Raw genomic sequence first — 12,694 nt, 5'->3', positions numbered from 1 at the left:
GTGGGCTTGGAGGCCTGGAATGGGACCCGGAAGTTGGGTTTACTGGGAAACGTGATCTCTGGGTGGCGGGGAAGCAGGACCTTCCCGCGCCTCTAGTTCCCAGACTTGAGCAGGGTTCCCTCGGTCTCCTCCAAGCATCCCTAACTGAATTCAGCATTTTCTCTTTTTTCAGACAGGGTCTCGCTCTGTAGCCCACGCTGAGGCTGCAGTGTAGTGGCGCGATCATAGCTCACTGCAGCCTTGAACTTCGGGGCTCAAGCGATCCTCCCGCCTCAGCCTCCCAAAATGCTGGGATTACAGGCTTGAGCCACAACGCCCAGCAAGCTCTTTTCAATATTAGCAGCCTGGCCCAAAGCGCCTGTCCTGAGTACACTCCAGCCCTTAAAACATTTGGACACACGCAGCTTGGACTCCAGCTTGGCCTCTTAGTTCGGACTTAAAATGCCAGAGGAAGCCTTTTCTGTGTCCGCTTCAACTCCTCCTAAATACATCCAAAGCCCTAGCGTTTACTATCTGGGATTTACACACTTTCTCAATCTTCCACCCTCTCCCAAAAGCCTTGTATCACACTCTGTTCTAAACCCACCAGGTTGTTAGATTCTGCCAGGAGTGACTCAGTGCATAGCTCAAACCTGGCATTCACTAACAAATTTTTATGACCGTCTAAGACCTAGGAACTAGACTGAGAGCAATGAAACAACACACACACCCCTACCCTGTGGAGGTTATGTTCCAGCCAAAGAGGAAAAGAATTAACTTATCTCCCTACAGCTATCTTAGAAATGACACTTTGGGATTACAATTATGAGGGAAGAAAAATGAATTCAGGTAACTTTTTATAGAGTACTATGACTCTATACCATCAATCTAAAGGCAAAATTGCAAAAAATCTTGAACTTTACTTAGATTTGTTGTTTGGTAATATAACAGGATAATAATTCTGAAGCTGAGTAATCAATATATTGATGTGACTGGAAGCCAAGGTTCTTAACTGTGGGAATCTGGAATCTGGAATCTGGAATGGGGAAAGTGGAGAAAGAACCCTATGATTGACTGGAATTTTTAAAAAGATTTTTAAAAGATGTAAAGTAGATAACATTAACTATTTACTGGCTCTTACCTCTGCTTTCAGAATGCCCTAAGCAGTAACTTCCCAGTAGAACGCCTAGTGTCTAGATGCTGATTTCTCAATAACAGTACCCAATAAAAGGAACTAAGTCTTTTCAGGAGAAATGGCCAATTTCTAGGCTTCAGCAGGGAAAGTACAAGGTGAGTCTGGAGTGATTTGTGCCAGACATTACTAATGAGCGGGGCTTATCACAAGGACACAGGAACCAGATTGAAAGGGTTTCCATAGGTCAATATCGGGGATAAAAATAATAATGAAGAGCATGAGGGAACTTGCTGATGTGCTGCAAATGTTATATTCCTATAGGTGGTGAGTGACTGACTACACAGGTTTATTTACGTTAAAACATTCGTCGGCTAGGCACGGTTAACTCACGCGTGTAATACCAGCACTTTGGGAGGCTGAGGTGGGTGGATCACAAGGTCAGGTCGAGACCAGCCTGACCAAATGGTGAAATCCCATTTCTACTAAAAATACAAAAATTAGCCGGGCGTGGTGGCACACGCCTGTAATCCTAGCTACTCAGGAGGCTGAGGCAGGAGAATCACTTGAACCCAGAAGGCAGAGGTTGCAGTGAGATCACACCACTGCACTTCAGCCTGGGTGACAGAGCGAGACTCCATCTCAAAAAAAAATAATAATAATCAAGCTGCACACTTAAGATCTATGCGTTGGGCCGGGCGCGGTGGATCACACCTGTAATCCCAGCACTTTGGGAGGCCGAGGCGGGTGGACCACGAGGTCAAGAGATCGAGACCATCCTGGCCAACATGGTGAAACCCCGTCTATACTAAAAATACGAAAATTAGCAGGGCATGGTGGCTTAAAACCTAGATGACAGGTTGATGGGTGAAGCAAACCACCATGGCACATGTATACCTACGTAGCGAACCTGCATGTTCTGCTTGTATCCCAGAACTTAAGAGTTAAAAAAAAAAAAAAAAACAAAGAACAGGCCAGGTGCAGTGGCTCATGCCTGTAATCCCAGCACTTTGGGAGGCCGAGGTGGGCGGATCACGAGGTCAGGAGATCAAGACCATCCTGGCTAACACGGTGAAATCCCGTCTACTAAAAATACAAAAAATTAGCCGGGCATGGTGGCGGGCGCCTGTAGTCCCAACTACTTGGGAGGCTGAGACAGGAGAATGGTGTGAACCCAGGAGGCAGAGCTTGCAGTGAGCAGAGATTGTGCCACTGCACTCCAGCCTGGGCAACAGAGCGAGACTCCTTCTCAAAACAAACAAACAAAAAAACAAAAACACTTTCTAAAATGTGTTACCCTTTTTTCCTGATTTAGAAATTGCAGAGGGAATACAATAAAATCTTATCTATAGAGCAGTAGTTCTCAAACTATGTGTACTACAATTAATTGGGAAACTGAGAAATCCTGATGCCAAGGCTGTACCTCACACCGATTAAGTCAGAATGTAGTCTGGATAAAGCCCAGGCCTAACTACTTTTTAAAGCTTCCAGGTGGTTCCACTGTGAAGCTATGTTGAGAACACTGCCCTGTATATTTATCTTCTACCCACTGTTTCAATTCTAACTTCTGAGACCACCAATCTATTCTCTTCCTTCTTCCTGGAGCATTTGGGAACACTGAGGACAGCCATCATGTGCCTCTCCTTCCCCTCTAGTCTCTTCAGTGTGCAACATCTCCAGTTCCTTTAGGTGCTCTTCTGGACTCTGAATTATGGTAAGGTGCTTGCCAGGACAGACGTACTCCAAAAGGCATGACTCATAATAACCCCAAACTGCAAACATCCCAAAGTCCACCAACAGTAAATGGACAAATTGTGATACATTCATATGACTGAATACTACACAGCAATGAAAACTACACCTATTCCAAATATTGACGAATCTCACAATGTTAACATGAAAAGAATACATGATTCCATTTATATAAAGTTCAAATGCAGACAAAATTAAATGACACTGCTAGAAGTCAGAATGGTGGTTACCTGTGGGAAGAAAGGAAGTAGCAGTGATTGGGAGGAGTATAAAGGAGGCTTTGAAGTGTTGACAGTGTTCCAATTTCTTTACTGAATGTGGTTATTCACGTTTGCTTTGTGTTAATGAACTGTATACTTGTTTTGGGTATTTTCCTATATGTATGATATACTTCATAATTTTAAAAAAAATTTGAAATATTATGAGGTCCAAGATAAAAGATATGAAAATCCATTTTAATCACTCAAATCTCCATGTACAGGATGGTTGTTGCTGTTACCCAACTCTTTCACTCCTCTCTCAGCTCTGGAACCAAACTGTCTGGGTTCAGTCTCAGCTCTACCATTTAGTAGCTGAGGACCTTGTGCAAATCTGTTTGTTTCTTCAAGTATAAAACGAGAACACTGTCATTTTAGAACATTTCTTCCAGTTTTCACTCAGATAGTTGGTACCTATCATATGTGATATATTCATATGATGGATATGATAGTACAGACATCTACTGAGTGACTGAAAACTGGAGGAAGTTAAGAAATATAAAGTGCTTAGAACACAGCCTGGAATATAGTAAGTAATAAATAGTAGCAGCTGCTACTACTCTTGGCCTCAGAGTCTCTGTGGACGTACAAGGGAGAAGCTGGGGTCTTTCCAAGAAGGGAAACTTCCAGAAGAAGAAAATAAAAATTGTTTCCTTCTCTTGGAGCTCCTGGATGAGGTGGATGCTGGCTTCTGCTATCAGTCAGATGTCCAGTCTGGCTCTCACCAAGGGCCCAAGGGAAAGCAGGAGGAGAACAATTAGACAGGAGTATTTCACCACTAAAAAAGGCTTTTATTACAAAATGAATTCTAATAAAACCAGGCCTGGTCTTCAACCCCTCCCGCTGGGTAGAGGCCCTAGGGTGGGCTAGGGTAGGGGAGATGGGGGTGGGGGGCCCTGAAAGAACAGAGCAGGCTGCCCTCCTCTCATCAGTCTCAGCTGCTGCCCTCCTTTTATAAAGGGCTAGAAGAGCTCTTCCAAAGCCCCTTGAGAGAGTCCCCATCCTTCCAACCAGGATCCTTCCAACCACTGCTGTCACAGGACCTTAGCAATGCCGCATTGCAGGATCCAGGAGGTCTCGGCTGGCTCTCAGCAGAGGCCATCCAGGGTCACTCAGCCTGAGCGATGGCGTAGGAGAGCAACCACAGCAGCAGGGGACCCAGAATGAGGACAGCAAGCCAGACAGCAAAGCTGGCCAGGATGAGTTTCCGGGCCCGGGCCCCCCAGCGCACTGCCTCCTCGGACCGGCCTGCTTTATGCCGCTCTTCCGCCTGTGGGGGCAGGTTCTTGGTTAGGTTCTCCCCCTGCTTCTGCCCCAAGGTGCCCATTTCCCCACTCCGCTCCCCCTTCCCTGTCACGGATCAAAATCTCACATCCAAACCCTCTACCTCCCTTTCCAGTTTCTGATTCTAACCTCTCATCTGCAAAATAAGGTACCCATCTCTGGGCCCTGCCTACTTCTCAGGGTGGCCATAGCTCACAAGATCGCCTATGGGAAAGTACTTTCCAATTCTGTTATTCCCCATTCTTTCCAACTATCCAAGATTGATTCAGAATTTGTAACTATTGGCAAGAAACAGTGAGGCTAGAGTAACTTCACTCATGCCCAAACACCACCTCATTCTCATAGCCCAATGGGCCTCATCTTTTCCATCTTTTTTTTTTCTTTTTTTGAGACAGTTTCACTCCTGTCACCCAGGCTGGAGTGCAGTGGTGCAATCTCACTGCAACCTCCTCCTCCCAGGTTCAAGCAATTCTCGTGTCTCAGCCTCCCAAATAGATGGGATAACAGGTACGTGCCACCACGCCCAGCTAATTTTGTATTTTTAGTAGAGACGGGGTTTCACCATGTTGGTCAGGCTGGTCTCGAACTCCTGACCTCAAGTGATCTGCCCACCTCGGCCTCCCAAAGTGCTGGGATTACAGGCGTGAGCCACTGCGCCCAGCCTCTTTGTTATCATTAAGGGCCCTTTTTAGGATTTTGCCCTAATGGAACCCAGGAGTTCTTACAGTTTCTGACTGTTAAAATATGTCTAGGGTTGAGAAGATTCCAGCATGAAGTTTAAGTTAGCCTGTGTAGCCTTTCCTAAAGGACATGTGCTGTTTTTTTTTGTTTTTTTTTTTTTTTGAGACAGAGTCTTGCTTTGTCACCAGGCTGGAGTGCAGTGGCATGATCTCAGCTCAATGCAACCTCCGACTCCGTGGTTCAAGCAATGATCCTGCCTCAGCCTCCCCAGTAGCTGGGATTACAGGCACGCACCATCACGCCCAGCTAATTTTTGTATTTTTAGTAGAGACGGGGTTTTACCATGTTGGCCTAGATGGTCTCGATCTCCTAACCTCGTGATCTGCCCACCTCGGCCTCCCAAAGTGCTGGGATTACAGGCCTAAGTCACCACGCCCGGCGGACATGTGCTGTTTCTAATAGGCTTTTTGAAATGGTGAAGCCCTCTCAAAAACCCAAGTGTCTTTCAGACTCCTAGAGATTGCGCTCATCACCGTTCAGCGGCCTCCAGCCTTGCCCCCTCCAATTCACCCTCGATGTAGGCCTTGAGAGTGGATCTTCCTAAAACTCAAATCTGACCATGTCACTTTCCCCTGCAGGAGCCATTCAATGCCTCCCCAGTACTTTCAAGATAAAGTCAAAACTCTTAAGCACAGAACTGGAGGCCCTTGGGAATCTGGGTCCTCTAGCTTCATCTCTCACTATTCCTCACTGGTCCAGTCATGCTCCACAGGCCTTTGTACACACTGCTCCTTTTATCTGGAATGCCCTTCCACACTTACTCACTCACCCTTTAAGATTAATCCTGTCACCTCTCCTAGGATGCCTTTCCAGTCACCTATTCTACCATATACACATATATAATTACATACATAGATCTTCCCTGGCTCCCACACTGTCCTGTGCTTCCTGTATTACGGTACTGATGAACTGCATTCTATTAATTACCCATTTTCACTGTCACCTCTTTCATTAGATTATGGGTCCTCTGACGACAAGGAACCCTGTCTTATTCTTATTTCTGGCACTAGGCCCAGAGCACTGATAGGTATTCAGTGACTGGTCAATGTAGATAGATCAGATACATGAAACCATTGCCTTATACCCACCCCCATTCCCATGGGAATTGCACTCCTCACCTTGATGGCAAACACCAGAGCCATGACTCCCAGGCAAGAGCAGCCACAGATAATGCTAGTAGCTGCCAAGCAGCGGAGGCGGAGCCAGCAGCAGCGGATGGGGGATGGAGGATGAGCAGCTTCCGTGTTGCCCAAGATCTCCACTGCCTTCTCCTCGTCCTCCATCACCTGTGGGCGATAGTCAAGGTACTTGTGAGCCCAACAACAGAGCCCTTGGCCTTGCTTGCTCAGACTCCACCCCTCTCAGAGCATTCTGTTCTCATGGCCTAGCCTGGCACTCAGGAATGTTGCCTTACTGGGGAATTCCTCTAGTGACTCACAGAGCAGGAGAGGAAATGTGTGGCTGGAATCCTTTTACCTAAGCTTGAGGTTCTGAGTCTTTGAAAGCAAGCCAGTGTAGACAAGGCATTATCTGTATTATTTAGTGTTTCAACAAGTGGGAAGAAGCCAAATGACAGGTGCACACCGAGAAGGAGGAAAAATACAAACTCTTGAAAGCTGCTATGAATCTGTTATTTTAATCTGTATTTCAAAGGACTCTACAATTCCCCCAAATTCCCAAGAGGCTGCCCCCTGAGTATTATAGATGTCAGAGAGCAGGACCCTAGGTACTGCAACCCGTTTCAAGCAAAGCAGCCATTTTACATGAAAACAGTTATGGGAATGGAGAAAGGTAAGGAAAATGTACCCAAGTAAGCCCTTTATTACCACTAAAACCAAACATCAGAAAGACTTTACTTCCCTAAGTCAGGGCTTCCTCTGCTATGCTGCCTCCCTGCCACCTCCTCTCTCCAATTTAACCCAGGCCACATAACACAATCAGACTAGTACACTGAGTCTAAATGACCTCATTACCACACAGAAACCTGCAAAATGATGCCCTACTTAATCATTTCTTGTCTCCCTACTTCTCAGGTCCTCTAGGCCCTGGCATCAAACCACCTTTCTACCCTTATCTCCAACCATTCCCCTACAACCCAGACAAAATGAAACCACCTTGGCTCCCTGAACCCAAGTAACGAAGGATAGGAAAGGTGAAAGGGGCGAGACAAGTAGAGAGCAAAGAATGATGTGTGCCAAGAAGCTGCAGGGAAGTAGATACAAAGAAATAACTCAGATGAGGTAAGCACAGAGTCAACAGGAGGACACAAGGAGGGCCCAGGGAGTGAACAGAGAATGTAAAAATGAACAGGGCTCTTACCTGGCTATAGGCCTTGAAGGACTCTGAGTTTCGGCTCCTGCCTCAGCTTTGGTTTGGCTTGGGTGGTGATGGAGCTGACTCAGGGCTCCAAGCCAAGCCCAGGGGTGGGGTTGAGTGGCCAGCCACCACGTGAAGAGCCCAGGGAGCTGGGAAGGGGTGTGGCTGACTCAAACCAGTTTGGCTAGATGAAGAGCAGGGGAGGGCCCAAGGGATGGAGCAACTGGAGCTAGGACGCCTGCCCTCTGGAAAAAGTTGTGAAAGGAAGCACCTGAGCAAGAGGGATAAAAGGGAAAGGTCTGAGGCATCAAAGAGCTCCGAGGAACGTCTAGGAACCGAGGGAAAAGAAATGAGAGGAAAAGGATATCTGTGACTTCAAACTGACTGGGGAAAGGCACCCTACCACATCAAATTCACCAATCTTCCCTCTTCTTGGGTAGATTTCTGCCTGGAACATATAGTCCTGGGCTAGAGATCAGGTGCTAGGATCTTTGCAAGAACAAGAGGGAGGAGAAAAACGATGCCCAAGTTCCCACCCAACCCTCCACCAGACCAGAAAATCAGAAGCCTCCTTACGCGGATGCTCATACAGAAACTAAGTTTATTATTTTTTCTTCTTAAAAAAAAAAAAAAAAGAAAAAAACCTCATTGTAGAGAAGCCCCTCCCCCTTCCCCTAAGGGTGGGGGGCTGTGTGAAAGACAGCTGGGGAATCAAGTACAAGGGGGTGGGGACAGAGACTATCTTGCCACCCTTAACACTGCCCAGCCACGTGGGGTGAAGGGGAAGGGGACTGTGATGATCCCCATTTCCATGACAACCAGTTGCCTACCCCCTACTTTGGTGGGAAGAAGGGAGAAGGCCCCTATGTCTCCCTGGAGGCTTTCCCCCTCAAGACTTCAAGTAGTGGTTAACAGAGTCAGGCCTGGTCATGGAGGGAGTGGCCACGGTGGAAAGCCTAGGTGGAGGGGCAGCCCACTCACGTCTTGGCCTTGCGGCCTCTGTGACTAACAGCAGGGCCAGCCAGGGAGGGAGGGGCGCTGCTGCGCAGGATGCGCTGGTCCCCTTGGTTGGTGGTCCCAACAAGCCGGCGGGGGCCAGGACGTCGGCGTGGGGTCCCATCCCCTTCCTCCTCCTCACCTGAGGCTTCAGCCTCAGACTCCTCTACTGAACCCTCAGGCCCCAGGGGACTTGGGGGCTGTAGGCGGCCCCGCTTTGCCAGCCCAGGACTCCCACCAACTGGGGCCCCTGCTCGTTTGCGAGGCAACTTCTCAGTCTCTAGTGGGGGGACTAGAGACCCTGGACGCAGCCGGGTCGAGCGCAGTTTTGGGGTTAGTGAGACCACAGGTGGTGTCAATTCCAACCCGCCTGGCCCGCTATCTGCTAAGTCCAGGTCATCCTGAATTACAGCCACCACCATGGACCCTCCACTCTTCCGTCCTCGCATTCCTTCTGCTTCAAGCCGAAGGCGGGCCAGGCGGGTGAGGGGGCGGCTTCCATCCTCATCAGAGGAACTACCCTCACTCTCCCCTTGGCCCTGGGGTTGCCGTCGCCTCCCCAATCCACAGCTCTCGAGAACAGAAGTGCTGTCACGGTCCAAGACGGGGAGCTGGCTGGGCCGAGGTGATGGAGGATTCTTGGGAGGTCGGCCCCTCTTCCGTTTGGGTGGGGACGTTGAAATGGTGACAGTGGTGACAGTGTTGGCAACAGTAGCAGTGGGACAAACTAGCAGTGGTGGGAGTGGGGTTAGGGGTGATGGGTGTGGGGGTGGCTGTGTCCGACTTTCGGAGTTGCCATCCCCTGCAGAGGAAATGGTCCCAGGGATGGGCAAATCTCGTGCTTTAGGGGGTCGTCCTCGCCTTCTTTTCTCCACAGGTGACAGGAGGGGATTGGGTCTGTGAACTGGCTGGGGTCCAAGAGGCTGGGGCCCAGGAATAAGCTGTGGTTCCAGGACAGGATCTGCAACAATTAGGGTCTCAGGCCCAGGGACTGGGTCAGCCCCATTGGTTTTTCCCTTCAAGGTGGATGAGGGTGCCTCATCCACACCTCTCCCAGCATCTGCTGGAGACCTGTTCTTCTTGGGGGGCCTCCCCCTCCGACGTTTCACAGCAGGTGGGGTGATGGCGAGCAGTGCTCCGTCTCCATTCTCGGGGCTGCCACCACCAGTCACCCCCAGCTCAATGTGACGGCGAGCAATGAAGGGCTGCTGGGGTGGAGTGGGCAGTGAGGATGAAGGAGCAGCTTCACAGGGCCCACCAATGGGAGGGGAGGATTCTGGCCCTGACATGCTGCGGACAGACGGGCTTCCCGGGCTGGCACTAGTCTCAGAGACCCCAGGCACTAGGGTGCTGGCAGCTCCCCGCTGCTGCCGCCGCCGCCGCACCAGTTCCTTTTCCTCTACCACAGTTACCAGCCGTCCTGGCAGCTTTCGAAGCACTTTGGGGCCTGGTGGTTGTCCTGGCCGACCAGTCCCTTGACCCCTAATTTCCACATCAGCACTGGTGCGACGCCGAGGAGGTCGGGCAGGTGAAGGACCCTCAGGCGAGGAAGTGGCTGAAGATGAGGTGGATGGAGCTGCAACCTCAGCTGTAACGAGTTCCTGTGGCTTCTCTGGGCTGGAGGTTGGGGTCTTGGCCTCTGTCAGCTCTTCCGAGGTCCTGTCAGCCTCCAGTGGCTCCTGAAGTGGCTCATCAGATGCTGCTGAGGGTGGGAGCTCCAGGCCATTGCTCTCACTCACACACAGGGGCAACTCCTCACCTTCAGGCAGCACTGTAAGGGTGGTCCCCTCAGCAGAATCTGGTGCCTCCTGCTCTTGACCATTGGGGATGCTGCCAGCCTCCAAGGTCAGGCTGGGTGCAGAAGGGGTGAGAGAAAGGTTCTTCTCTGACACAGGCAGGATCTCCACAGCAACTGGCAACAGATCTTTAGGGGGCACAAGAGAAAGTGAGGAGGTTTCTGAACTGGCCACAGAAGCCAGCTCCAGGGACTCTGGAGATGCCAATGCCTGGGCACACAGCTCTGCCTCAGGCCTCAAGCCCAAGGGGAGATTAGTGACTGAGGCAGAGATGGGCACAGAAGGTGGACCAAGCAAGAGAGGAGAGGAAGGAGTTACAAGACAGGTTTGGGCTGGAGGCGGTGTATGAGCTGGTGGAGGGGTACAGGCAGGAGGAGGGGTGCAGGCAGGAGAAGAACAAGGAGGAATCTGTGAAGGAGGGGGAGGAGAAGGCAAGATATGGACAGGGAGAATGGTTATTGGATTTGGGGCTGAAATGGGTACTGGGGCAGAAACTGGGACAGGAACAAGGGCAGGAATTGCAGCCGGAGCTGAAGCTGGAGTGGGTCGAGGCCTAGGTGCTGGCCTGGGAACTCGCTCCCTGGCAGGACTGCAGCGGGGTGGTGTGGTGGTGCTGCGAGTTTGATGGGCGGATATGACAGGAGTGTGGTTTGCCCCTTGAGTCTCAGCCCGGGCTCCACGAAGACGCTCACTGACACGAGTCCCCGGCCTCTCAGGGGCTTTGGCCTTTTTACTGCGCCGGTGGGTGCCTCCACCAGTCCCACAGGAACTCTCATCCCCAGCCCCCGGCCCCTCCTCCTCCTCTTGGGGTAGGCGGAACACCTCCTCCTTGGCTTGGTCCAGGTCTTTGCGGGCAGCTTCCACTTGCTCCTACAACAACAGGGTCCAAAAGTGGTCAGGAGGAGGCAAGCAGAGTAGAGAGTGAGTAGAAATTAGCAGCTTCCAGGTCAGGCGCGGTGGCTCACGCCTGTAATTCCAGCACTTGGGGAAGTTAAGGCCAGCAGGTCACCTGAGGTCAGGAGTTCAAGACCAGCCTGGCCAACATGGTGAAACCCCCGTCTCTACTAAAAATACAAAAATTAGCCGGGCGTGGTGGTGCACGCCTGTAATCCCAGCTTCTCGGGAGGCTGATGCAGGAGAACTGCTTGAACCCGGGAGGCGGAGACTGCAGTGACCCGAGATTGTGCCACTGCACTCCAGCCTGGGCGACAGAGCGAGACTGTCTCAAAAAAAAGAGAAAAGAAAAAGAAATTAGCAGCTTCCAACTGCCAGCCCCACCCCTGGAAATACTCACTTCTGCCTGTTTGAGCTCCTCTCGGCTCACCTCCTCCAGTGAGGCCTCCAGGAATTTCATGGCATAGCGCTCAATGGGGGTCAGCTGCAAGGAGGAGCGGTGGTGATAAACTTAGGAACCTGGTACCCAGGGCCCCACCACCCTTATTTATTCCCACCAGGGAAGACAAAAGGAGGGTCACAAGCCCAGGGGAAGCAGTAAAGTCAAGAACTAGTGGGTCCAGCACTGACCTGTTCTACGAGGGCAGCAATTTCCTGCTCAGCCCGGGACATCTCCTCATCCTCAGCCCCAGGCCGGCCAGCTTCCTCTCCCTCACCAGCAGGAAACCCATCGTTCTCATTAAATTCTGCAAGCTCAGCCACCTGTTCAGCCTTGGCCTGGGTGGCTGCACGGATATCCTCTTCATCTTCTGCCCGACACAATGCCTACCAGGGTGTATAAAAGAAAAAGAAAACATGAGACTTCAAGTACTTTACATCCTGTGATTTGATTCAGGCAAGAACTTGAGACCAAGCGTACACCAAACTAGGTTTGCAACAGAACTCAACAACCTCCTAGGCCTCCAGAGTTACCACAACAACTCAGTGGTCCACAAAGGATGGAATGGATTTTACCAGGACTCCCACTAGGGAAAAATGAGTATTTTTGAGATTGCTCGCTGTACTTCCCTTCCTTTAAAGTCAGCCTCAGCTCTCAAAAAAAAAAAAAAGCCACCACAGAAAGATGTGAATAAAAATGCACAATTCACCCGGGCGCAGTGGCTCAATCCTATAATTGCAGCACTTTGGGAGGCCAAGGCGGGCAGATCATGAGGTCAGGAGTTCGAGACCAGCCTGACCAACATGGTGAAACCCCATCTCTGCTAAAAATACAAAAATTAGCTGAGCGTGGTGGCACGCGCCTGTAATCCCAGCTACACAGGAGGCTGAGGCAGGAGAATCACTTGAACCCGGGAGGTGGAGGCTGTAGTGAGCCGAGATCGCGCCACTGCACTCTAGCCTGGGCGAAAGAGCAAGACTCCGTGACTCCGTCTCCAAAAAAAAAAAAAAAAAAAAAAGTAATGTCAAAAACTGCAATTATTTTTGCACCAACTTAAACACTTCTCTTAAGTGGAAATACTAATGAAAAGGAAATAATTTTGAGGATT

At 50.3% G+C, this 12,694-nt stretch overlaps 2 protein-coding genes across 2 annotated transcripts in view, besides 2 other annotated features; both read right to left on the bottom strand.

The window, feature by feature from the left end:
• On the bottom strand, positions 2,976-7,530 carry TMEM265 (transmembrane protein 265). Its single transcript, NM_001256829.2, has 3 exons — positions 7,465-7,530; positions 6,264-6,431; positions 2,976-4,390 (listed from the first exon to the last, which is right to left on the bottom strand). The coding sequence occupies exons 2-3, from the start codon at positions 6,426-6,428 to the stop codon at positions 4,229-4,231; spliced, it is 327 nt and encodes a 108-aa protein (NP_001243758.1). The 5' UTR covers positions 6,429-6,431; positions 7,465-7,530; the 3' UTR covers positions 2,976-4,228.
• Positions 6,043-7,242: an enhancer, noted in NCBI's record as "MED14-independent group 3 enhancer chr16:30752251-30753450 (GRCh37/hg19 assembly coordinates)". NCBI's record gives its function as "activates an origin of replication core promoter dependent on BRD2, BRD4, P300/CBP and CDK7 cofactors, and independent of MED14, by STARR-seq in HCT116 cells {active_cell/tissue: HCT116}" and the evidence as "EXISTENCE:reporter gene assay evidence [ECO:0000049][PMID:35650434]".
• Positions 6,763-12,694, bottom strand: part of SRCAP (Snf2 related CREBBP activator protein) — a 42,239-nt gene continuing 36,307 nt past the window's right edge. Inside the window, exons 32-34 of the mRNA NM_006662.3 lie at positions 11,778-11,972; positions 11,548-11,631; positions 6,763-11,123 (exon numbers count right to left, since the gene is read on the bottom strand). Coding sequence (NP_006653.2) covers positions 8,439-11,123; positions 11,548-11,631; positions 11,778-11,972 — 2,964 coding nt within the window. The 3' untranslated portion in view covers positions 6,763-8,438. The remainder of the gene's footprint in view (positions 11,124-11,547; positions 11,632-11,777; positions 11,973-12,694) is intronic.
• Positions 9,442-9,989: an enhancer, noted in NCBI's record as "H3K4me1 hESC enhancer chr16:30749504-30750051 (GRCh37/hg19 assembly coordinates)". NCBI's record gives its function as "activates a minimal SCP1, AML or CMV promoter by ChIP-STARR-seq in naive H9 embryonic stem cells {active_cell/tissue: H9 hESC(naive)}" and the evidence as "EXISTENCE:reporter gene assay evidence [ECO:0000049][PMID:30033119]".

Source organism: Homo sapiens, chromosome 16 (assembly GCF_000001405.40).
Source record: "Homo sapiens chromosome 16, GRCh38.p14 Primary Assembly".
NCBI lineage: Eukaryota > Metazoa > Chordata > Mammalia > Primates > Hominidae > Homo > Homo sapiens.
This window is presented reverse-complemented; position numbering and strand designations above follow the sequence as displayed.

Coding starts and splice junctions, on each gene's coding strand:
- TMEM265 (NM_001256829.2), bottom strand. CDS start 6,428: ATGGAGGACGAGGAGAAGGCAGTGGAGATCTTGGGCAACACGGAAGCT. Junction 4,391..6,263: donor CTCTGGTGTTTGCCATCAAG/GTGAGGAGTGCA, acceptor CTGCCCCCACAG/GCGGAAGAGCGGCATAAAGC.